The 27,322-nt window shown below is 36.3% G+C and overlaps 1 protein-coding gene across 6 annotated transcripts in view; it reads right to left on the bottom strand.

Moving 5' to 3' along the window:
- Nucleotides 1-27,322, bottom strand: part of SACM1L (SAC1 like phosphatidylinositide phosphatase) — a 56,014-nt gene that overhangs the window by 19,596 nt on the left and 9,096 nt on the right. For 4 of the 6 annotated variants that reach the window (XR_007095650.1, NM_001319073.2, NM_014016.5 and 1 more), the window contains 10 exons: nucleotides 22,279-22,376; nucleotides 20,605-20,679; nucleotides 18,907-19,034; nucleotides 16,167-16,316; nucleotides 12,618-12,677; nucleotides 11,735-11,768; nucleotides 6,213-6,314; nucleotides 3,729-3,814; nucleotides 2,859-2,945; nucleotides 2,271-2,339 (listed from right to left, as the gene is read on the bottom strand). Coding sequence is in view for 5 of the 6 variants with exons in the window: in NM_014016.5 (NP_054735.3) it covers nucleotides 2,271-2,339; nucleotides 2,859-2,945; nucleotides 3,729-3,814; nucleotides 6,213-6,314; nucleotides 11,735-11,768; nucleotides 12,618-12,677; nucleotides 16,167-16,316; nucleotides 18,907-19,034; nucleotides 20,605-20,679; nucleotides 22,279-22,376 (889 nt within the window). In the remaining variant the exon portion in view is untranslated. The remainder of the gene's footprint in view (nucleotides 1-2,270; nucleotides 2,340-2,858; nucleotides 2,946-3,728; nucleotides 3,815-6,212; nucleotides 6,315-11,734; nucleotides 11,769-12,617; nucleotides 12,678-16,166; nucleotides 16,317-18,906; nucleotides 19,035-20,604; nucleotides 20,680-22,278; nucleotides 22,377-27,322) is intronic. The other 2 variants (NM_001437893.1, NM_001319072.2) reach the window with 1 other exon arrangement.

Genomic DNA, 27,322 nt, shown 5'->3' with positions numbered 1-27,322 from the left:
TTTAATGATGAAAGACCAAAAGCTTTTCTCCTAAGAAAAGGAATAAGACAAGGATGCTTGCTTTCACAATTTCTGTTCAACATAGTATTAGTAGTTCTAGCAACACCAATTAGGCAAGAAAAAAAAAAAGGGCATCCAAATTGGAAAGGAAGCATAAAATTATCTCTGTTCACAGGTGACACGATCTTATATATAGAAAACCCTAAAAATTCTGCAAAATATCAATTGGAGATAAGAAATTCAACAAAGTTGGAGCATACAAAAATCAAGACACAATAATCAGTTGCATTTCTATATACTAACAATGAAATATCCAAAAAGGAAAGTACAAAAACAATTTCATTTACACTAACGAAAAACAAACAAACAAAAAAACACCATTCAGGCATAAATACTCAAAAATAAATTTAAACAAGGAGGTGAAATGCATGTACACTGAAAACTGCAAAATATTGCTGAAATTTTTTAAAACATAAATAAATAAAAAGACATCTGAGTTGATGGACTAACAATATTATTAAGACGACAGTACTAGTCAAAGTGATCAATCTGTCAATTCAATGCAATTGCTACTAAAATCCCAATGACATTGTTTGCAGAAATAGAAAAACCAAGCCTAAAATTCATAAGCAATCTCAAGGGATCTCAAGTAGCCAAAATAATCTTGCAAAAGGAGAAGGAAGTTGGAATTATCACACTTCCCGATTTTAAAACTTATTACACAAAGCTGTAGTAACCAAAATAGTGTGATCCTGTCATAAGGACAGACACGGAGACCAATGGAATAGAACAGAGCCTCAAAATAAGACCTTATATATATGTTCAACTGAGTTTTTATTATGGTGACAGACCATTCAAAGGAAAAGAACAGTCTTTTTATAAATGGTGCTGGGAAAACTGGATAGCCATATGCAAAAGAATGAAGTTGGACCCTTACACCTACACCATATACAAAAATTAACTCATGTGCAGTTTTAAGAAGTAATACACAGACACACATACACGAAACAAAAATCAACTCAAAACAGACCAAAGACCTAACTGTAAGATCTAAAACTATAAAGACTCCTAAAAAGAAAATATAGGGGTAAGTTTATGTTATTGGATTTGGTGACAATTTCTTGAATTTGACACCAAGAGCAGAGGCAACAAAAGAAAAACTAGATAAGCTGGACTTAAACAATTTGTATACCAAGGACATTGTCAAGAGTAAAAAATCAACCTAAAGAGTGGGAGAAAATATTTGTAAAGCACCTGTCTGCTAAGAGATAAATATCCAGACTTCATAAAGAATGACTACAACTCAAACAAAAAACAACCTGATTAAAAATAGCGAAAGGATTTACATAGACATTTCTCCAAAGAAGATACACAAATGGCCAATGAGCACATGCAAAGATGCTCAAAATCACACAAATCATTAGAGAAATGTAAATCAACTCAACACCACTCCACACCCATTGGGATGGCTATCATTAAACACACACACACACACACACACACACACACACACACCAGAAAACAACAATTGTCAGCAAGGATATGAAGAAACTGGAACTCTGGTGTATTGTTGGTGGGAATACAAAATGGTGCAGCCGCTATGGCAAACAGTATGGTGGTTCCTCAAAGAGTTAAACATAGAATCACCATATGATCTAGCAATTCTACTTCTAAGTATAAGCCTAAAAGAACTGAAAACAGGGACTCAATCAGATACTTGCACACCACCAATGTTCATAGCAACATTATTCATAATAGCCAAAAAATGAAAACAACCCAAATGTCCATCAATAGATTAATGGATAAACAAAATGTGGTATGCATGTATATGTGTGTGTGTGTGTGTGTCTGTGTGTGTGTGTGCATATATGCATACACATACACAATGGAATATTCCTCAGTCTTAAAAAAAGAATGAAATTCTATACATGCTACAAGATGGATGAACCTTAAAAACATTAAAAAAGAAAAACATTGTATTATTCCACTTACATGAGGGTACTTAGAATAGACAAATTCAGAGAGACAGAAAGTAAAATAGAATTACCAGGGGCTGTGGGGAGGGATATAATAGGAAGTTAATTGTTTAATGGGTAGAGTTTCTGTCTGGTATGATGAAATGTTGTGGAAATGAACAGTGATGATGGCTGCACATTATGAACTACTTAATGCCACTGAACTGTACACTTAAAAAATGGTTAAAATAGTAAATTTTCTGTCAAGAAAAAGTTAAGGCTTTTTTTTCCCCCCAAGAAACATAAGAAACATACCAGATTGATTATAACTTGTTTTCCATAAATAATTACTTGGGAATCAAAATGCCTTTGGAAACCGTCCATCTAGAGAGGAAAAAGTTACATATTTTACTGGAGTACATTATGTAATTTATAAATATAATTTAAATATTTATAATATTTTTAAAGGACCTCCTTAAATGTCTTATTTCTATATTCAAAAGAAAGATGTCAGGATGTGAACTATGCCTTCTAGCTATTCTAAATGTCATCTAGTAATCATAAGCTATTTTACTCTGAGCTGCAACACTACCACTTTAATTCTGAGTACAACCTCAGTGGAATATATTAAGTACCCTAAAAAGCATAAAGTTACAAATCTTACTGAGATCTCTCAAATCCTTACTTGCCATGCCATTCAATCATAGTTTGTTTTTCTATATTTCTAACATGCCACCCACACACCTTTTGGTTTAGGGGTTTACTATGTGCCGGAACCAAGAAGAATAGCCTCAAAGATGTTGAACATTGATTTATGCGGAATAAATACATTCTTTACATGCAAATTATAATGCTATTAAGCTTCTATTTTTAACCAACAAAAAAGGCATGCAAGATACACACGTGATTTGCTACTTTGCTGATCTGTGGCAGTGGTTTGTACTTGAGGTTTGGTCTTTGGGACCAGAAAACAGGTATTGATCCTCGAGTCTAAAAGAAAAGAGAGAAATGTGAAAAGAAACACAAACATACTTGTTTTTCTCACCTTACTTATTGTCAGGGGTGTATATATTAATGAATATGCAAGGGAAAAAACTAATACAATCTACCGACAACTTTAAAAGTCCACGTGTATCTGCTCCTAAAGTTCATATTTTATGGAAAAACATTTAGAACTTTTTCTCCTTCTAGTTTTATATACATGGCATTTGTGTAGTAGACAGTTATTTCCTTGAAATTCTAAATTTATCTATGAGTAAAAATTAACAGGTTACATCTGTTATATAATTTGGCATTATGAAAAAATTAGAAAATTGCTTTATTCATTTTCAAATGAATATGTTTATGAACATATGAATGTATTTGGCCACTAACGCTCTGGAGCAGCAAGTGGTGTACAACTCCATAAGGCAACAGAAGAGACATCTCACAGTAGCAGGTAAAGTCAATTATAAGCCATCAGCTTGTCCTATCATCACTGCCCTTAATACATGTAAATGGTTCAATAGACAGATGGCTCCATTTCCATAACTCTCTTCGCACCTCCTAGCCTACCCTCTCCTCTAGGGATTTAATTTAAGGGCAGGAAATGGCAGCAGGTTAGTGCCAGATTAATGGATTTTCCTTTTTTGGGGTGAACTTTTTCTGCACCATAGATAAAAATATTACATAAGAACAGAGAAGGGAAAAGAGGGAAATTTCAACATGACAGAAAATTATAATCCAAGCAGAAAAGGCCAACTCGCTGACTGCCTAACAGACATAACAACTTGCCTGTACAAACGAAGCTTTGCTCCCATTGTAGTGCACAATTTGTTCTGTTTCTACAAAGTTAGCTGCATGGCCTTCCGAATCAATTCCTAAATAGAAAAAAAATTAAGAATTAACTATACTGATTACACAAAGAAACACATCAGAAACCCACTAATTCAGGTTAACTTGGAGAGAATTAAGTCAGTTCAAGTTAGTGGAAAAGTCATTATGAAAATACAATTCAAACAAATTCATTATACATGATCAGAAAACTAACACAAGCTTGCTCACTTTAAACAGGCTTAAAGAGGAGTATTAAAAACCTATTAATAAACAGATGAAGTTGGTTGCTCTTAAATACATTGTTTCTACATACAAAATTCCTCTAAAGTAGTGTTTCTCAAACTTGAGACATCTTTTAAAGAAAAAAAAAATCTCAAAGACCCCTGAGAAAATGTCCATAGATCCTAATTTGAAAAATACTAGTTTGAAAGGTAAAACTATCAATTTAGGTAATTATACTTAGTAACAACACAATACTCAACGTAAAGATAGGCCATTTTATTTTTATTTACTTATTTTTTGAGACGGAGTTTCGCTCTTGTTGCCCAGGCTGGAGTGCAATGGCATAATCTCAGCTCAACGCAACCTCCGCTTCCCGGGTTCAAGCGATTCTCCTGCCTTAGCCTCTCAAGTAGCTGGGATTACAGGCATGCGCCACCACGCCCAGCTAAGTTTTGTATTTTTAGTAGAGATGGGGTTTCTCCATGTTGGTCAGGCTGGTCTCAAACTCCCGACCTCAGGTGATCTGCCTGCCTCGGCCTCCCAAAGTGCTGGGATTATAGGCGTGAGCCACCGCACCCGGTGAATATAGGCTAGTTTATAATATTTTGTTATAATAATGCAAATGGTCTCCAGCAGATGCTTATACTGATTTTAATTATCAAAATGAAAACACAAAATCTGTATGTGATCCTCTGTAACTCCATGAATATGCTCACAAAACCTAGTTTGAAAAGCAAAGTGTTTGGATTCTTGATGCTGTTTAGTTCTTTCAAATATTTGAAGCATTCCTTTAAAAATTTGTTTACGTAATCTATTTTTACAAAGAAACGCTTGCTAAGCAAAGGCAACTTTCAAGCTAGTCCCTGACCCAAATTACCAAATTATCAGAAAGAAATCAATGTATTTTTTAACTGTGCCAAGTATTTCCTAACATCCTTTCTGACATATTTCTTACATATAACATTTGCAGGTATATGTGAAGTATCACTGTTTTAGTTACCATATCACCAGAAGGGGCCAAAATTATTGAGCCAAATCAGCAATGACATGACTCCTCAATACTTTATGAGATTACTTGTCAGAGGCACAGGCTATCCTTGCTTCCCTTCGTAATTCCCACTAAGGAACAACATCCAATTATTTTTAAAAGTCAGAGTCAGACTGAGAGACAGTATGTGTGTTTGTGTGTATGAAAGAAAGATCTTTATGAAAAGATTTGCAAAAGATATGAAGGAAAAAAAGGAAACAAGGTGCAGAAAAATGTGCACAGAATATTATCACTGTCTAAAAAAGGAGGAAGAGAAGGGCACATATCTGTATTAGCATAAAAATTATCTGGAAGGATAAACAAGAAACTAACATCTGATTAGCTGGGAAGGGGGTAAGAACCAAGCAGATGAGGTCAGAAATGGGAAATATTTTTTATTGCATTAAAAAAATACTTTTTGATATTTGAAATATGTAAATGCACTACCTGTTCAAAAATTTAATCAAAAACTATGTTTCCATCCAAGAAAATCTAGTTACAACAGAGTTGCTAACTTTAATTTTGGTTTGTGATCTTTGCCAGGTCACTCACTCAATGTTATTCTTCCTCTGCTATGAGAGAGATTAAGCAAATAATTTCTACAACTTTCTGGCCCCAAGCTACAATTTATTTAATGGCTCACAGCCATAAAATATGCTGATATATTCTGGTTAAAAAAAATACAAAGGTTGGAGAAACTTCTTTTCATAATGACAGTAAGCTTTAATACAGATTTTTAAAGTTTAGTTTAGCAAAATAAGCATGTTGCTAGTACAAAGCCTAGAAAATAAATGCTCAAAATGTAAATGTTTACAAAGTTGAAGGCACAAAGCCAAATGACTAGCTTCATGCATGCAAAAAACCTAAAAGCAATACAAGAAAATACTTTCTAAGTTAGGTTACTGAAAACTACACTGAGTTCAGCTGTGCTTTCGGACATCCAGCAAACAACATGATCAGTTCCTCTTCAAGCAGTAAGCAGCAGCCTACAAGTATCACATTAACATTTGCAATGTAATTACAGTAACTGAAGCACGGAAGACCTACCTAATTATTACAATGAAGCAGGAGATAAATACTTAGCAAGGCTATCAAATGATAATGAAAACAAATAAAATACAAAAGGTTACATTCGTGTCACCGTAAGACAAAATATTAATTACAGATATGACCCATGCTGACAAAATTCTCACCTCTTACATAATAGCGCACACCAGCTCTGAAACAGCTCCTCCTCGAGATGAGAATCCAATCAAAGTATTTTCCATTAATAGAACATGAATGCATGGTAATAACTTAACCACATTAAGAAAAATATAACATATAATAGAAATCATAAGCATTGTTTCTAGATTGTTTGCATCTATCTATCCTAATGATGGTCTTTAAGAGAAAAAATGACAAGAGTATACAAATCTTCATGAATATTCACAAGCCCTTAGTACTATAATCAACTGTGAAGTTTTGTCAAGTTAATAACCCTATGACACGAAGGTAGTATGTTTAAGAAGTTCACTATGGTGTTTTTATTTAAATGATATGCTTCCCTTTTCCTGATATTCTCAATCACTTTCTAAAGAATTAAGTATTAACCACATCACTGAAAAATCTACTCTGAATGGAAAACATAAATTTAAAATAGATTAACTTTCAAATAAGAAACACAAAATGGGGAGGGAAGGCTAGGCTACTGCAGCTAAGGGGAAAAAAAATGAAATGCATGACACATAATTATAAATTAGCCATGTAACAGCTGGTAAGCATATGAAGATTCACAGATCAAAGTGAATTAAACAAAGGTTATCTAGAAATGGAAATTTTGACTCTACCTTATCCTTGAAATAGAAAAGGTGAACCTCAGTATGAAAGACTGTATCTCCCCAAAAGCCTTTCTTTATATAAAGTTATTTCCCTTACTACTGATAATAGTATATGGTATAGGACACTTCCTACACCATTCAGTAATATAAACAGTCATACACCTAGAAATTCTAAAGGCTGATCTCTCCACTTCATTCCCAGAGTAAAGGGTTGCAAAAGCCTTTGGAATTGGCATACCTCTTACATTAAATGTTTTTATTATGAAATATAATAAACAGTAAAGTATAATGTGTGTAACTATTTACAATAGTTAAATACCCATTTAGTATGGGGAGTTGATATTAAATGGGTAAGAATTTCTTACTGGAGTGATGGAAACAGGATGCTGGTTGCACAACACTGTGAATGAAATTAATGCCACTCACTGAATTACACATCTAAAAATGACCAAAAAGGCAAATTGTTTATGAGGTATATTTGATCATAATTTTAAAAATTACACATACACACACCCCTTTGTACCCACTAGCATCTCTGAAGCACCTTTCCCTGTGGCTCCCTTACTGCCCTCTAAGAAGTAACTACTATCCACTCAGTTCATTATTCCCTTGTCTTTCTAGTTTTGCCACTAAACAAATTCTTGTTTAGTCTGAACAGCTTTTGACTTTTTTTTTTTTTTAACATAACAGGAATTAATCTGTATGTATTCTTTCAGTTTTCTTTATTTGCTCATTATAGTCATGAGGTTCATTTGCTGCTGCTATGGCTGTATAATATTCCACTATATGACTAGATTACAGTTACTTATCCATTCTACTGTCCATGGACATGCCAGCTGTTTCCAGTTTTACTATTATGAACAGTGTTGCAATAAACATCTCTGTACAAATAAGCAGAAATGGCTCTAAGGAGCAGTACTGCTGGGTTACAGAGTATACTCCTCATCTGATCTTATTAGGAAATTCCATATTGCTTCAAGAATTACTTTGGCTTCTCACCTTTACCAACATTTGATGTTGTCTGCTTTTTTAAAAAAAATTATTTATGTATTTATTTGAGAGAGAGGCTCTTGCTTTGCTAACCAGGCTGGAGTGCAGTGGCACCATCATGGCTCACCGCAGCCTCAAACTCTTGGGCCCAAGCCATCCTCTCACCTTGGCCTCCCAGGTAGCTGGGACTACAGGCACATGCCACCATGTCTGGCTAATTTATTGTCTGCTTTTTAATGTATGCCACACTGTGGCTGGGGAGCAGGGGGGTATGACAGAAAGGTTTTATTGTTTCAATGGCCTTACTTTTTCTCCTTCCACATTTGTTTAGGTTTGGTTATGGTATTTTCTATATGTAACACTTTTTCTTAATATAATTTGATGCATCCATTATAAAGTATAACAGCATAATAAAATAAATATTTGTGAACCTACCATCCAACTTCAAAACAGTACCAAAACCCTGAATCTATTTATCTGCTCCTTCCCTATTTTATCCAATTGTGTTCTCACCTAGAAGTAACTATTCTCAGGTTCATGGAGACCATTCTCCTATCTTTTTAGTTTCATCACATGCAACCATACTTAGAAACACGCAGCTTGCTTTTTTGTAAAAATGAAACTACGCTATTTATAAACTTCAAGCCCTTGTGACGTTCATGGTATTGCTCTAACGTGGTACTGTGAACATTCTGGAAAGACCTCCTGGTATGAATGTATTGGGTATGCATTGGAGAAGTGCTGGCAAATTCACAAGAGAACACCAAATGCTTTTCAAAATGGTACCTAATGACATCAGCAATGAGTTGAGCTGCTAATGACTCATCTCTATTACCTGGTATCATCAGACTTGATAAGGGCTCCTCTTGAGCTCCCAATTCACTTTCCTTTGAAGCCCATAGCACTAGAGAAGACTCCAATGTAATATTTGCTCCCTTACCCAAATTATCTATTTCGAGCCAGGGCACAAAAATGAGCAGGGCAGATAAGCCTGCTCTTAGAGAGCTAAATCTAGCAGAGAATATGACTGACTGCTTTATGAATCATGTTCCTCTGATTACAAGACAAAAACATCTACACACTTTAGAGAATCCAGAAAGCATGGAAGGAACAAGAGTAAAATAAAAACTGAATCCCATCAGCATAACTTTTAAAATGTGAGTGTATTTACTTCTAGTCTTTCATCAATCAGTTACTCCCAGGGCCATCCATGCCTTCTCTCCAGGATGGCATTTCACATACTCCCCTCAACATGCAACATTTCTCCCTCATCCCCCTCATGGCCCATTATGACACTTTATATGGTGCTGTAAAAATAAAAGCCCTCCACAGGCCCCGATCACATTTACACACCCATCAGCAACCACATCCATCTATCTGCTTCCCTTCTACAGTGGTAGGTGAGCAGCCCACACCAGGCCCTCTACCTGTGCGCTGACCCCCACCCACCTCACACATTCTTGGATATCACTCTAGCATGCACCTTCACCAATTTTCCCCTTCTCCAAAATCTTTTGAGTAGAGGTCTTGCGCTGTCACCCAGGCTAGAACACAGTGGTGTGATCATAGCTCACTGAAGCTTCAAAATGGGGTCAAGTGATCCTCCTGACTCAGCCTCCTGAGCAGGTGGGACTACAGGCACATGCTACCATGCCTAATTTTTAAAAAATTTTTGTAGAGACAGGGTCTCACTATGTTCTCCAGGCTGGTCTTGAACTCCTGGCCTCAAAGGATCCTCCTGCTTCAGCCTCCCAAGGCACTGAGATTACAGACATGCGCCACTATGCCTGGCCCCATCACATTTAAAGTAAAAGCCACAGTTCTTCCCATGGCTTATAAGGCCCTGAGTCATCTGGGCTGAGCTAATTCTCTGAACACAGCTCCCGCCTCTCTGTCCACTCTCTATTCCAGTCATGTTCCTGTCTTGGGGTCATTTTACTTATTAATGTCTCTGTATGTGTGTGAAACATATGATTTTACTTCTAGTCAACAAACTACACTAAAGAAAAGCTCATTTAAAGCTTTCAATTTAAAGGTAAATGAGTAAGCTGTTTCTAAAATTGCCTAGAAAAAAAGGTTCTATAATCTCACTTAATATTGTTTGTCCATTCACAATCTCATTTTGAAAAAAAAACAAAAAACAAAAAACACCATAGTTGGCCCAAATCATTTAAGGCACTAAATAAGGATAAACACTTTTTTTTTTTTTTTGAGATGGAGTCTTGCTGTGTCATCCAGGCTGGAGTGCAGTGGCACGATCTCGGCTCACTGCAACCTCCGTCTCCTGGGTTCAAGCAATATTCCTTCCTCAGTCTCCCGAGTAGCTGGCATTACAGGTGTGAGCCACCACGCCCAGCTAATTTTTGTATTTTCAGTAGAGACAGGGTTTCACCATGTTGTCCAGACTGGTCTCGAACTCCTGACCTCATGATCTGCCGGCCTTGGCCTCCCAAAGTGCTGGGATTACAGGCATGAGCCACTGCACCCGGCTGAATAAACACATTTATTCTTATTTTATCCTTAGGAGAACTTGGAAAGCTCGGGGTGGGGAAACAAAAATAAATGAGCTTTTATCATGAAATTTTCTAATTTTTATTTCCCCATAACTGTGGAACATGTTTCCTCCATTACTTTTTGGGTTTTCTTTAAGTATAACAAGCATTAAGTTTAGTGAAATTATATTAACATACTGAATAAATAAATAATAGACTTGTATTGATAAGCTTCTTACATGTGCTTGATAGATGTCATCACCGTTTTCTTCAGGGCACAATCCTGATTACAGTCATGCATCACTTAATAGGGGTACATTCTGAGAAATGCATCGTTAGGCAATTCTATACATTATAGAGTGTACTTACACAAACCTAGATGGCACAGCCTACTACACACCTAGGCTACACGGTATAGCCCATCGCTCCTTAGCTACAAACCTGTATAGCATGTTACTGTACTAAATACTGTAGGCAACTGTAACACAATGGTATTTGTGTATCTCAACATATCTAAACATAGAAAAGATACAGTAGAAATATGGTATTATAATCTTATAGGACCACCTTCATATATGTGGTCTGTCACCGACTGAAATGTCAGTATGTGGCACATAACTGGATAGGCACTCATGAGCATATTGTGCTTATATATCCTTTAAGAGCCAGCTCACTTGGCTGCTTTATTTTTATTATGATGTCTATGACATAGATCTGTTTTTAACATGAACCTACAATTAGATAATCATTACTCATTTTGTATCTGTACTCTGATTTCTCCCTTAGGCAATATTCTTTGTACTCTACTTATTTTCATTTATCTGTCACTATTTCAAATGACAAAATTTTTAATGGTAATTCTCCTCTCCAACTTGTTACCCACACTAGTGTCTGAGTCTCACTTTTTTTGACCCTGTCACCCAGGCTGGAGTGCAGTGGTGCCATCACAGCTCACTGCAGCCTCAAACTCCTGGGCTCAAGTCATCCTCCCACCTCAGCCTCCTGAGTAACTGGGACTAGAGGTGCAAGCCACCATGCCCGGCCTAAGTCTAACTTTTTAAATTATGTACTTAGGAAAGTTTTCAACAGCCAGGTCCAAACTACTTATGTGTAATTTACTGATAAAAGGTAACATCAAATAAAGGCAAAATACAGTACACATATTCCTTTTCTTTAAACAACCAACCCCAGAACTCTTGAACAGAGAGAGAATCGTATAGTCTGAAAAGTTCATTCTAAAAAAAAAAAAAACAAACAAAATAGCAATGAGTTTGATTTTCTTATCAACAGCAATTTATATTAATTCTGAAATACTCTCCTTATGGAGTATTTGAGACTATCTCTAAATCTGCCTTATAATAAAATTTAAATAAAGGCATCTAGAAACTAAAGAGTAATATCATGTAAGGATACAGCCATGTAACACTGGAAGGGCAAACCGATGAACCTGAAATGAAGATATATATTTAGAATAAATATACTTTAAAAATAAATAAGCATTATATAAAAATATTTACACATAGGGAGGTAATATACAAACATAACAAGGTAGTAAACTTATGGGTAATATAATTTTTAAAAGATTTCTCTAATGTAACATTAAGTATGCATTACAATCATTTGAGCTTGAATATTCACAGATTTTGGAACACTAATAAAGCTACATGAAGTTACAGAATGTTTACCTCCTTTTCAGTCTTTGCCTACAACAACTTCACTCCTCCAGGGAAAAGATATCCCATGCTAATTGTTTGCAGCTCAAACTACTTTTCCAAAAAAAGCATAGCAAATGACAAGAAATAAAGCAATTAGACACATCTATTTACCTAGATTCAATAATATATCATGTTTCCCTAGCTGGGCCTCCCTGTTTATACCTCATATGTGTAGACAAAGGACAGAAGAGGGCGGTGCCTGTGCATGTCTCTCCTGGGTGACTGAAGGGAGTCTCATCCCCAAAGGAAGACAAAAAAGAGCTCTCCCCTTGGCCAGGAAACTTGGCCCTGGCCCCTCATTTCTCCATTATCCATGTACCAAGATCCCCTGTATCTCTCTTAGTTAGACAAAGCAATGTATTTTTATTTAAGGCTTCTATAGAAGATCAGAGTAAAATAGTTAGGCTTCTTCAACCTAGAATGATGTGACAGGGTAGACCTGATCCAAGTTTGTAAGTTATAAACAGTTAAATTAGAATTGTTTCTCGAAATTCTTGGTGATTAGGAAGTCACTTTATAGCATGCATTGAATTAAAGCTTGGACTGTAACAATTAAGCAGATTTTATTTCGTGTACATTACCTCTGGCTGTGCAGAAAGTTCTCTTAGAAGATGACCATTCCATACAAACCGCTGATCTGCCTGAGAGAAGTTTTAAAATTTAATAAAATATCTCCTGCCAAGCTTACTTTCTACAGAAAGAAAACTACACCAATCAATGTCTCTTTCTGATGGCTAGAAGCCAGTTTCTTTGACAGGCCTCAAACAAAATACATCTCCCCCGCAAATCTGTACCTCCTGTGGGCATTTCTGTCTCATTGTCTCAGGCCAGACAGAAACCTGGGAGGAGTTTTACGGTATTTCTTTCCCTTACATTTAATTGTCAAGTACTAAATCTCCTTCAAAATCCATATTTTTTACATTTCTACTCCCACTATCTTTACCAACATCTGACTCCAGCCTAACTAACACACCTTCCCTTGCCTCCAGTTTAGGCATTAGCCCTCGCCACTCATTTTTCCACAATGCTACCAGCAGGAGTTCTCTAACATGTCCTGTCTCCTATCTGCTCAAAATTCTTCAATGACTCTGTCATCTAAAGAACCAAATCTCTGCATGGCCTAATCAGTCCTAGGATCTGGCAGCCCCTAATTAACTCTCTGATCTCATCTCTGGCCACTCCAACTTTCATAAATACAGAAGAGGCTCCCTCAACAATCTATATTTAATCAACTCTACTTAGGGCCAGACGTGGTGGCTCATGCCTATAATCCCAGCACTTTGAGAGGCCAAGGCAGGCGGATCACTTGAGACTTAGGAGTTCGAGACCAGCCTGGCCGACATGTCTCTACTAAAGATGCAAAAATTAGTCAGACGTGGTAGCACGTGTCTGTAGTCCCAGTTACTTGGGGAGGCTAAGGCACAAGAATCACTGGAACCTGGGAGGTGGAGGCTGCAATGAGCCAAGATCGTGCCACTGCACTCCAGGATAGGTGACAGAGCAAGACTCTGTCTCAAAAAAGAAAAAACAAACAAAATAACTGACTCTACTCAGTAGATTAATCAATTCTATTTATGAAGCATACCAACTGAACCACCAGCACCGCCGACTCTAAAAGTCACAGGGAATGGCTTTTGCACTTGACCACAACCAGCTGAATCGCACTTCCTGAGATTCAAGTGTGTGTTCCTGAATTTGTACCAGTCATACTTATTATTATTTCATCATTATATAGTTTAACTATTTTATAAACCAATGAAATAAGATGAAAAACACACTGCTGTTTCTATAAAGTTAAATGATTTGGAATGTAACTTGATAAGAGGCAAGTTGCTAAAACAAAACTGCTGTTGAATTTGGAGTGGGAGTGGCAACTAAAAAAATATAAAAGAACATAGTAAAAATGTACAGGATTCTGCACACAGATTTCTCTGTAAGTGTCAAAGTCTTTAAAGTGGCCCAAATGGGAAAGCCCTATGGATGTAATTTACACAGGGAAGACAATTCAGAATCAAGGAACCAAAAACAAAGAAAATCCTATGGCCGTACATAAAAACATTGACCAATGTAAAACTTTTAGGTTTTAAGTTAAAATATTTAGGGTATATATGTTCCATTTATCACTTTTATGATTCCCTATGTTAACATTAACTTTTTTTTTTTAGACCGTCTTGCTGTTGCCTTGGCTGGAGTGCAGTGGCGTGATGACAGCACACTGTGGCTTCTATCTCAAGTGAACCTCCCACCTCAGCCTCCCGAGTAGCTGGGATTGCAGGTGCGTGCCGCCACACCTGATTAATTTTTAAATTTTTTTGTAGAGCTGTGGTCTCCCTATGTTGCCCAGGCTGGTCCTGAACTCATGGACTCAAGCAATCCTTCTGCCTCGGCCACCTAAAGTGTTGGGATTACAGGCATGAACCACTACACTTGGCTAACTTTCTGTTTAGCTGACAAAACATTCCCATCTCATCCCAACAGATGAGATGGCTTTTTCTGCAGCTTAGCCTCTGCCACCACCTCTGCCTGGAACCCCCCGGCCCACTGTCACCTGACCAACAAATCTTCATCAAGTCTCAGCTCAAAAGTTACCTTTCTGTGTAAAGTTACTGTCCTCTGTAGATACCTTACTTTATAAAGTTGTCCCTGACAACCTCAGGCAAAGACCCTCATTCCTTCAGGATCCCACCTCACTTTGGTACATATCACCATTATAGCAACCATTCTTTGACTACCACTTCCCCAGCAGACTGTAGGCTCCCACAAGACAGGGTCCACAGCTTCATTCTGGGTCCCCAGGGGCTAGTATAGTTCCTGGTACATGGCTGACGTTGTAGAGATGTTTCATAAACAAATGGAGAATGTAGCAACTGCTTTTAAAAGCAAGTCTCTTTGTAGTTAAAAGCCAAGTTTCTTGAATGCTTAGCCTGCACCTAAACTTCCATCTAAGCCTACATACAATTTTACCAAATTAGAGTTGAAAATCTCACCCAAAAAAGCCAGTCAACTAAAATATTAATTTAGGTTGAACCACATGAAATAACCATTTTTATTGGTCAAAAATGGTCAATTACTGGCGACTTCACATTGTCCAACCTAATAAGTAAGATGGAGCGACCTTTTAAATTCTGTCTTCTCATTAAACACTTCTAAGGTGTGTCAAAAAAAAATTCAGGTAGCAATCATCCAGGTTCCTGAACAAAAGAAACTTTAAGTTGAGATCATATGAAACCTAATTTTAAAGATATATTCACTGTATATTAAAAAAAAAAAAAAAAAAGGCAGACTGGGCAGGCACAGTGGCTCACGCCTGTAATCCCAGCACTTTGGGAGGATGAGGTGGGTGGATCACTTGAGGCCAGGAGTTCAAGGCCAGCCTGGGCAACATGGCGAAACCCCATCTCTACTAAAAACTAGCCAAGCGTGTTAGCACACGCCTGTAATTGCAGCTACCTACAAGGCTGAGACATGAGAATTGCTTGAACCCAGGAGGCAGAGGTTGCAGTGAGCTGAGATCGCACCACTGCACTACAGCCTAGGTGACAGAGTGAGACTCTGTCTCAAAGAAAAAAAAAAAAAGCAAAATAAAAAAAACCTTAAAAGGATATTTTCCAAGTTCTAGTGACTTTTGTTACATTTTTAGTTATAAAAATTATAAATAAGCATCACTACAGAAGAAATATCAACTGTTAGAATATGAATTTTATAAGCCTAATTACACTGCTAATGTAACTGCTACACTACCGAACACTGAGAGTTAAGAAATTACAAATGAATGCAATGCTAGTTTGAAGATTTGACATCTGAGAGTTAGCACTTGGTAGCCTGGTAATACTTATGCAGAAATACAAATTCTGAAAGATTTTCCTCTAATAACTTACATGTGTGTTTATACAAAGATTTCTGAATATCTACACCAGTGATTCTCAATTCTGGCTGTATATATACACAGATTCAAGGACTCACACACTGGGATTGTGATGTATATTTAAAACAGGGTATATTTTCAAAGCCTCATACATGATTCTAAGATAGCCAGGACTGAGAAAAATCAATATAAATTTTTATGCATGAAACAGAGACATGTCCCTTTTAAAAACCTAAAAATAAAAATAATTGAAGATCAAGCTTACCCTTTCCAAGAGACTCATTTCTTGGAATTCAGGACTAGTGTTGGATAGCCGCTGCAAAGTATGGGTCAAATCATATGTTGTTGAAAAGTAAAATCCATCCACATTCAAGACATGGTTTAGCATCGCTAGGAAGGTTTTATTATCTTGTAACTATAAACAAAGAAAAATCAGTATAGCTCATAATTGAAAAGGAATCTGCCAGCATGAGAAAAGAATACAAATTAAATCCTGTTAAGTCCAGTCTCATTAAAGACTACTGGCACAAGGACTGAGCCAGTGAGGGGGATGCTCGCCATTTCCCTGGGATGTAGGACAGTTCCTGACACACAGAAGATACTCAATAAACACTGTAGGGTACTATTAGGTAACTTGATTAGGTAGGACTCCTCCCCTTTGTATCCTTTACAAATTTTATTCTCAAAGGCAGAAGAGTAGTTTTAACAAAACATCACCTTCGGTTATGACCTACTGTGTGCCAGGTATTTTCCAAAGATTCCCTTTAATCTTCACAACAGCCCTGCTAAGTTAGCATAGCTATCTTCGACAAATAAAACACATAAATTTACGACGGGCCCAATAATGCAAACAGCAAATAACAAGATACTAACATCATCCACATTCTCAAGAAACGTTCCCTGGTTTGGGATGGACGAGAAGTAAAATGGAATTCTTTTTCTTTAAAACAAAGATTAAAAAGTCCAGTAAAAGCAATATTTATCTTTATTTTTGGGAAACCATTTTAACTAGCTTTCCCAATGAATACTAAGATTGACATTTGTTTTTATCCTTGTTTTAAAAAACAATTGTTAATGTTTGGTAACGTTTAATCATTACTAAATGATTAACTTGTTAATCTACATGTTACAAATCTACATATACAAAATTTTTTATTTGTGCTCAGACATGTTTTTAAAATTAGCTACACAGCTTGACAACAAAGAATAACAATCGAGAAGAAATTGTCTAAGTAAATATGACTGGTCTATTAAATAAATACAGCTGTTTTTATTTCTTTAAAATATGCCTAGTAGAGAATGAAGATATTGATATATATTTCTTGATATATATAATAAAAAAGAAATTCTAAAGTATAAAAAGCATATCCTGTAGTTTTACTCAGGTAGGCAGTGCTATAATTTTATTTTTTAAAATGTTTATCCTAAGTTATATGTTTTAGAATAATATATTTTCTTCTAGAAACATTCTTATAAATTGGGTGTAAAAATACAACTTAAAATTTTTAAATAGCAAACATGTAACTAAAATTACATTAAGAAAACAATCACTCTCAACAGGTATATATATCTCTAAACAATGTTGACTTTAAAAAGTAAGTTTCAAAGAATCAGAACAGGGCAATGCCATTCATGTAAGTTTCATACACACTCCGAGCAAAAACAGATCCTGTTTAAATATGAATACAGGCAGTCTTTACTTTGTAAAGTGGGAATGTAAAAATTACCATGTTATTTTCATCTTAATAATCTTAAGCTATCTTAACAGTCAATTGTAAAAACTATGACTGTTTCATGACCTTTAAAAATTTTTTTTGTCAAAACATTAAAAACTCTATTGTAAGTTATAGATATTAGTTATAGATATTAACTTATATAGTTACGTTGTAGATGTAACTTGTAAGTTATATATAGTAAATTATAAGCATAAATGAACAAATTGTAAAACTAATATTTAGCACACTATAATTTAAAACATTAGAAACACCGAGAATAAAAAATATTTTCTTTGTAAAAAAATTTATCAAGAGACTTGAACAGTGCTTGCCGCCTTCTTGTCATATAGATTAAGATACAGAATATTTCTTCTATCCCTGGTGAACTGTCATACACCTTCCTAAGTCTAAACCAACTTCTGACATTTTATCCTTTGCACTTTCAATGTTGGGAAATATCTCCAAGGTTTCCTTTAATGGGAAGTCTGTTGCAGGCATCACTTTCTCTGGGATACTGTCATCCCTTTCGTCACAGCCACTCCATCATTAATGTCGGTCAGTTCGCCTGCACCAGGACCTCTGGCTGCATACCTACTGTCCCTTGAATGGTGAATAGTGTCAGCATTCCCATGGTCAGCTACTTCTTCTATGCTCCATTTATGTTCAATTTCAATTTCTCTTCCAGAGTTGTTGCTTTTTGTTTTTTTGCACCTTCATCTTTGGTGGGTTAATTCTTCAGTTAATAAACTGGAGTAACTGAAATTTAAGCCATGCTGTTTGGGTACTGGTGTTAACTAAACTATGGTTACTGAAATCTGTGCATACAGGAATAGTGCAAAAGGAAAACTGCCTGAAAGAATATATACACATTTCATAAACACACACACACACTTACATTCACATGTGGTAAAAATAGAGAAAACCTCTCTGGGAAAGAAGGGAATGAGTTAAGAGGAGTAGAACTTCAAAGGTATTTATATTTTATTTCTTTACAAAGAGGATATGAAGTTAAATCTGGTGTTGAGTACCCGTGCATTTCTGTTTTCCCTTCTCTCCATATGAAATTGCATAATTTAAGAACTGAATCTTTAAAAAAAAAAAAACAAGAGCAACAAATGATTTAAAAAATATTTTTTATGCCTAGGTAGAAAAGTAGGTAGAGTGATCTTACTCTATAGGTTGTTAAAATAATTATAGCATTCTTTGTATTCCACAACACCCTCACCCTCCTCTCCCCAGCCCATGCTACTTCTTTGGGCGCTGCAATTAGTAACAATTTCCAGTTCTTACCTGAATATCAGTTAAGTGCAACATTGTCTTCTTATAAGAAAGGACATCAAAATCTGTTGCTTTCCAGACTACATGACTGAAAAATTCACCTACTTTTATCTTTTTGGTAATGACTATAAGATAATTACCTGCAAAAAGCAAGCCAAACACACATAATTATAAAAATAGTAACTCTAAAGGTAGAAATAGGAGTCCTTATTGTTTAACTTTAAAGGCTAGTAGAATGAGACTATATTGTGCCACTCAGATAAAAGGCCCATTTTTAAAGCAACCTTACAATTTATGAATAGAAAGGTCAGCATATTATTTAGAAAAATTCTTACTGAAAGGTCATGTTTTTCTCAAAAAAGATAAAAGCAAAAGCTTTTCATAACCAAAGGATTTGTCTTAGTAAATGGAAAGTAGAGACAGAAAATACTTCTCTTTCTCTCTTTCATCACCCCCAAGGGATACAGACCTCTGCTAATCATTTCCCAGCAGGCAGCTTAAAGCATCAGGACGTGAGATCTGACACTACAGGGCAATGTCCCTTCCACACCACTCCTATGTCCTTCATGTCTCTCTCTAAATGGTAGAGAAATGTGCTGGGGCAGTATACCTAACTGGCTGCTGCAATATTACAAGGATGAGTGGTCAGGAATCAAGGAGTCATCACAACATCATGCACAATACACCAATCCTGACCTTGCCACCTCCTCACCCCAGAAATACATAAAACAGAGTAACCCTTTCCTACTCAATTAATTCTTCAGGTCTGTTCAACATTCTACCCACAAGTTCCCCCTCTGAAAGTTTTGCCATGTACATGTCTCTCCTGGAACTTGTCACACTGTACTGCAGTAATTTACTACTTACACGCCTCTCTCACTAGACTGTGAACTGCAGGGCAAAATGGACTTTCAGCCTTTATAACTCAGCATCTAGCATGATGCCTGAAAAAATAGGAACTTCAAACAAGCTCAATCAAATTAAATCTAAACAAAAATCACCTTCTTAACAACTCAGAACCAAGTAACATTTGCTAATATGCACTATGTCCTATTACTACAGGGCTGAAGGTGTAGAATACCCTGTTCCACTGATGCATTGAAAATTTTATTTACAGGATGGGCGTGGTGGCTCATGCCTGTAATCCCAGCACTTTGGGAGGCTGGGGTGGGTGGATCACCTGAGGTCAGGAGTTCAAGACCAGCCTGACCAACATGGTGAAACCCCATCTCTACTAAAAATATAACAAATTAGCCGAGTGTGGTGGCAGGCACCTGTAATCCCAGCTACTCAGGAAGCTGAGGCAGGAGAATCACTTGAACCCGGGAGGCGGAGGGTGCAGTGAGCTGAGATCATGCCATTGCACTCCAGCCTGGGCAACAAGAATAAAACTCCAACTCAAAAAAAAAAAAAAAAAAAAAAATTTTATTTACATACTCCATTTGTGAAAATTATCTAGCTAAGGATTTCAACTCTAACTGAAACACAACAAAATACAAAACTTTTTTTTAAATAATAGAAGCTCACGCTGATAAATTTTACCATTTGGGGAGTATTTCTTTTAAAAATTAATGATAAATACTTAACCAAGAGATTTACTGCTTAAAGCATGATACAAAGTATTACTTCATCGTATACTCACTCTAATATTAACAATTTAACTACCTTGCTAATTACCTTCTTTGCCCATCTTAGCTTATTTTCTCTTACCTGCCACCAGATGGATTGTGCCCAGTATACCAAATATTGGTCTTGTGACAGCTGAAGGAGGAACATCTTTCTTGACTTTAAAAGAAAGGAAAGAAAGAAAAATCACATACAAAAAGCTCACCAACAGAAACAGAAATTTAGTTCGATTTCAATAGTTACTTTGACTACATCAATTTGCATGATTTGTTCTAAGAAAAGCAACATTCCTTAACTTAAATGCACTATTGATAGAGCTATAAGTTATGTAAACTGGAGTGTAACAGCAATAAAACTGTGATAACTCCTAGAATGTATGTTAGGTTTTTTCATGGAAGAAAAAATAATCCCATTAGGAATAACATAGTCTGCATTCGCAGTGGTGAAAAGAAACTGGCTAAGAAACTGTCAGCAAGTCAGTCGCTCATCAGTACTGACTTTGCGTGGAAGTATTTTATCATGTGTCTTACTGATGACTGTTTGGCATCATCATCTTTACATTCAAACTATTCATGACCTTTAGCTTTTCAGTCTATTCAAATGGGTCTGCAATCTCTACCTACAAATAAAACATTACTGAAAGATCAAGGATAACTGAAAATACACCCACATTAAAGCTCTTGTAAGACACTAGGTTGTATCAACATGGTATAAAGAGTAGTATAATTTAAACTTTAGGAGAAGTGTACTAACACTAGTTAAAACCAGTCAGCTATCTTGAGAGAGCAGCCACCAAGCAACAGACAAATAGGAAATGTCAAATTATCAAACTAAAACAGAGCTCTAATTCCATTTGATCAAAGACAAACTATATATAGTACCTACCAGAATTACCACATAATCAAAAAAACAGAAATTTTATAGCCATACTTGTCTTACACCCCATTATCTCATGGAATATATTTTCGTACTTCACTTCACCCACTCAAAGGCTATTTACTGAATGCCTACTCTATGGTTATTCAAATATTGTACTTTAAGAAAAAAATAAATATAGAACTCTGGGGGTGAATAGAATCTTTAAACAAGTGAAATATGAAATTCTAAATATGTTATCACATGGTATATTAATTTGCCACCAAAATTATTTCGTATTTATCTATTTGGAAAGTCAGGGTGTTCCACACAAGTGAAAAAAAAGTTTGTTTTTCACATCCCAGAAAAGCATAACCAAAGTATAACTGGTTAGGTAGATAAAACTTAGAAACATCATTTGCCTAAGAACACCTACAAGTTTTAGTCAGTGAAGTATATTTTATTTTTCATTTATTAAATTTCCACATAGTCATGAAAGCTTTCAAAACAAAAGTAGCTGTTAAAATTCCATACTCTTAAAGCTGAAACAACTTTTTCACTCTCAAATATCTTAAATCTTACAGCTAGAAAGAAGCTTAGCTATCTAAACCAATCCTGTTAAAATACAGCTAAGGGAAAAAAATAATAAATATTATGTTTTTAAATCCTTACGGACAGTAAAATGCTACCTAAAATTTTCAAGATCATTTCTCCTTTTCACAGAAAAGGAGATAGCATAAAATTGATGCACCAACCTATGAATGAGGTAGCAAGAATAAAAATTTTAATAAGAATGCACTCAGAGATCCACACACTGACACACCTCTGAGTGATGTTTTTTAATTACTGTAATTTATGTATAAAATCTTTCTCCCTAAACTTCTAAATCTGGCTGTAAAATACCTGCAAGGGTAACCTCTGTGGACACACGGTCAATGGTAAGTACGTCATCTGCTCCATCATCACAAGCTTCCACATAAAATTTTTCAGGTGTGATATGCCTAAGAAGAAATGTAAAACATAAATAACTAACCAAATGAAATGAAGACTTCTAAAAAACTACTTATTATGACAATTACAGAGTATAAATTTGACATCATTTTCCCAGCTTCTAAAAGGATGAATCTGTTAAGTTTGCTGTCCTTATGAGTTCACTGCAACTCTTTTCACTTGTATATTTGATGCTGACTAGGTTTTGATTTGCTATGAAACCATCAATTTAACATATACAAAAAAATGCCATAATCAAATCTAGTTTATTATATTCAACAGGGTACAGAAGGCAATGTAGCATAGTAGGACCAGAGCCTACAGAACCAGACTACCAGTAGTGTGACCTTAGACAAGTTACTCATTCTCTCTGATCCTCTTATTCCCTTTCTGTAAAATAACGATAATACCAGATTCATCACGCAGCATCGTGTGAATTAAATGAGCTAATCTTTGGTAAGTACTTTGAACATCTGACGCATAGTAAGCAAGAGGTATTAGCTAAAAACAGTAAGAAATGCATTTTAAATAAAATATTTCCAGGAAATTTTTAAAAACAAATTACTTTAACATTCAGGTGGGGTGTTTTTTTAGAAACCCATATATATGTTCCTGAAAAAAACTCACTCTGGAAAATAAAAAATAAAGGAGGTAGAAACACGGTTGAGAGAGACTACTTAAAATTTATGCAACTTTGTAATTAGAGTCTAACAAAAATAACAGTTGGTTTCTCAAGAAACAACTTAAATAGTTCAGGCAAGCAACTCAGCATGGTGAGGGACTGACTCAGGATATACAAAATATTAACAGAATAAAGTAAAACTGCGTTTTCATTTGCAGGCACTAAAACGATGCAGACTGAAGTAGAACTCCAAGCCACTGATGGAGACTGCTGTTTTAAGGTAGGCACAGGAGAAGATACAACCTTTCCAGAAGCTGAGCAAGGCTGGGGAGGGAGGCTGAGTCCAAGAACTATTTCTTTTTCCAGAAACTAATCTTTATTGTTCACAAACCAGACTTAAAAGAATTTCTATCTGTTCTATCTGTGCAGCAGCCAATCTGAGGGCTTTTTCTTTTCCTTTTTAATTCTACTCCCACTTGCCTATGAAAAATCTCATTCAAACCCACACAACCATCATGGACATCATTTTCTATTTACCAATTGTGTATAAGCTATTTGGCATTATAGAAAAATGTCCTGCAGCAAAACAAACTTTTGACTCTTTTTTACTGCAAGTTCTCTGAGGAATAATCAATCCTTAATTACCCAAATATAACTTACAACCTTCTATGGTTCATCTGTAACTAACTAAATATTAGGCTAGTTTCCTTCATTTGGGGGGATATGCTAAGTAAAGGAAAATCAATACAACAAAGAAAGCAAATCTGCTTCAAATACAGCAATCTTCAATTTAACCTGAACACAACAATTCATTCCTTTTTATTACTGAATAGCATTCCATTGTACGGATATATCATAATTTGTTGATCCATTCATTTGTTGATGGCTATTTGGTAACTTTGGTTTTGGGTTACTATGAATAAAGGAACGGTTCTAGGAACATTCTTGTATAAAAGTCTTAAGGCAGATGTTCACTTCTCTTGGTTAACTCCCTAGAAGTGGAACAGCTGGATCATATGGCACATATATGTTTAACTTGTGCAGGAAGGGAGAAAAAGGAGGGATTACAGGCACGAGGAAACGTTTCAGGGTGACGGATACGTTCAATATTGTAATACTGGCAATGGTTTCATGGGTGTAAAAATGTCAAAATTTATCAAACTGTACACTTCCCTTTTCCATGTGTGTAGTTTATTGTATGTCAATCAAACTTCAATAAAGCTATAAAAAGAAAACAAAGTGAAAGGTCCTAAAACCAAAGAAATATAAAGAAATTCGAGACATCTAGTCTTAAGCCATTTTTTTTAAACCCACTATTTCAGTCCGTATCTACAGAAGATGTTTTATGGAAGCACAAGTTGCATTCCAAGTGTAAGCCATTAACATTTACCAAAAGGCTACCGCATACTAAGCATTATGCAAGCACTAGGGGCTATGCGGCAGGTGATGAATACATTCCAGGGAAAGCTGAGCCAGGAATTTCAGTGCTTTGTTTTGGGGACTCACTGATGGTAGGCACGGAATTGAGATTCAAACCAGTTTTGTAAAAGTCTAAAGGCTATAACTTTTTCTTCACCATACTCTATTACTACAATTTGAAGACATCATCCTTTGGTAGGCTGGCACAGATACATTGTTGTGTTCAAAATTGACCCTGGTTAGTAAAAAAAAAAAATTAAAGAAATGTTTTTAAAACCCAGGTTTAATAAAATTTAAAGTCTTTCCACTTAAAATAATTTTTTAAAAGTTTTGTCACCTCGAGACCCAAACACCAAGGCATCTAAAAATTCATTTGAGGAAAGGATTTCATTCCTTGCTGCCATTCTCAGCCTTCTCTCCATTAAAAAGAGATAGAGGCTGGGCGCGGTGGCTCACGCCTGTAATCCCACCACTTTGGGAGGCCCAGGCAGGTGGATCATTTAAGGTCAGGTGTTCGAGACCAGCCTGGCCAACATGGTGAAACCTCATCTCTACTAAAAATACAAACATTAGCTGGCCATGGTGGTACATGCCTGTAGTCCCAGCTATTGGGAGGCTAAGGCATGAGAATCGCTTAAGCTCAGGAGGCAGAGGTTGCAGTGAGTTCAGAGTGCAGTGAGTGCACACCACTGCACTCCAGCCTGGGCAACAGAGTGAGACTCTGTCTCAAAAAAATAATTAAAGTAAAATAAAATAAAAAGAGATAGAACTGATAGGTAAGGGTGGATGACAGAATACACATGATATGCTCAGCACTAAGAGGGGACTCCAGGCATTATTAAAATTTTACTAAATGGTTTCAGAACACTGGGTTTTAACATTGTTTTTTTACCCTTCCACCGTCTTTAGTGTCTTGACAAAGCCATCACCACTGCTCCTATTTGGCTGCTTTACTTTTACATCCAGGACAAAGTTACAGGTTTCAGAAAGGTCTCAGGAAGGTGACACAGTTTTGACCACAGAGTGAAGTCCATGGGCTTTATTACAACCATTTTCTTCATAATACTCAGAGGTCTACATCTTTTAAGTTCACAGCTGTATTTTGGGGGACAGTTGCCATAATTTATTTCTCCAGACAAAGGGTGTGTTACCTGTTCAATAACTAATGCTATTTTTAACATAAAAAGATTATTATTCACCAAGCTCAGAAATCGAATTCCTCCACTTTTTTATATTAGGCACAAAAACACAAGGCTTGCATCTAGATAAACAGCCAACAGAGAAATGCATATTGCTTGCCCTCGACAGCTCACCCTTCCTACACTCTGACCACCTGTATTTACATAAATGCATTTAAACTCTCCTCACCTGTAAGACCTTTAAAATGAAAATTATTTGGACAAAAATCAATGAACTGAAAAGTCACACTTGTTTCCACATACAACTTTGGAGGTACAACTTAATAGGTACATTTCAGTCAGCAATAAAGTATTTATTATAAAATCAGCTGTTTATAAGAGCACAAAAGTCAAACGCACACACAGAAAAAAAACTATCTCCATTATAAGCAATTAAAAGTTTTTCTCGGCTGGGCGCGGTGGCTCACACCTGTAATCCCAGCACTTTAGGAGGTGGAAGCGGGCAGATCGTTTGAGGTGAGAAGTTTGAGTCCAGCCTGGCCGACACAGTGAAACCCTGTCTCTACTAAAAATACAAAAATTAGCCAGGTGTGGTGGCGCATGCCTGTAATCCCCGCTAAGGCTAAGGCAGGAGAATTGCCTGAACCCAGGAGATGGAGGTGGCAGTGAGCCAAGATCATGCCATTGCATTCCAGCCTGGGCGACAGAGTGAGACTCAGTCTCAAAAAAACGTCAAGCAAATAACAAGAACCAAGGCACTTTTTAATTCTAGGAAATTAAAAACATTTAATTTATAATTTTATAAAATTTATATAAATTTATAAAAACAAAACATTTTTATAAAGAAATGTAATTATGATACACCATGAGGCTTCATTTGAACCACAGCTACATAAACCAGAGCCCAGCCTAATATGAGCATTTTTTTATTTTTTTATTTTTACCATTACTGCTACTATTATTTTTTTATTTATTTATTTATTTTAATTATACTTTAAGTTTTAGGGTACATGTGCACATTGTGCAGGTTAGTTACATATGTATACATGTGCCATGCTGGTGCGCTAGATATGGAGTAAAATACCAGAAGTTGCTTAAAAAAGTAGATGCCTCTGTTATTATAAGCTTTGTATACTACTTACTTTTAAACCGTATACATAAGATTGAAATAAAAATAAGATTTAAAAACTGTATTACAGGCCAGGCGCAGAGGCTCATGCAAAATCCCAGCACTTTGGGAGGCCGAGGCGGGTGGATCACAAGGTCAGGAGATCGAGACCATCCTGGCCAACATGGTGAAACCCGTCTCTACTAAAATACAAACAAAAAAATTAGCTGGGTGCGGTGGCACGTGCCTGTAGTCCCAGCTACTCGGGAGGCTGAGACAGGGGAATCGCTTGCTTGAACCCAGGAGGTGGAGGTTGCAGTGAGCTGAGATCACGCCACTGCACTCTAGGCTGGTGACAGAGCAAGACTCCGTGAAGTTAGGAGTTCAGTCAAGACCAGCCTGGCCAACATGGTGAAACCCTATCTCTACTAAAAATACAAAAATTAGCCAGGCATGGTGGCAGGCGCCTGTAATCCCAGCTACTCAGGAGGCTGAGGCAGGAGAATCGCTTGAACCTGGGAGGCGGAGGTTGCAGTGAGCAGAGATTGCGCCATCGCACTCCAGCCTGGGGCACAAGAGCGAGACTTTGTCTCAAAAAAAAAAGTATTATAACAAAGTATACAAATAAGAGTAATTATGGATCAAGGTAGAGATGTCTCGCTCAAAAGT

The sequence above is a fragment of the Homo sapiens genome, chromosome 3 (assembly GCF_000001405.40).
Source record: "Homo sapiens chromosome 3, GRCh38.p14 Primary Assembly".
Taxonomy (NCBI): Eukaryota; Metazoa; Chordata; class Mammalia; order Primates; family Hominidae; genus Homo; species Homo sapiens.
The sequence above is the reverse complement of the archived record's forward strand: the minus strand, read 5'-3'. Positions and strand labels throughout refer to the sequence as shown.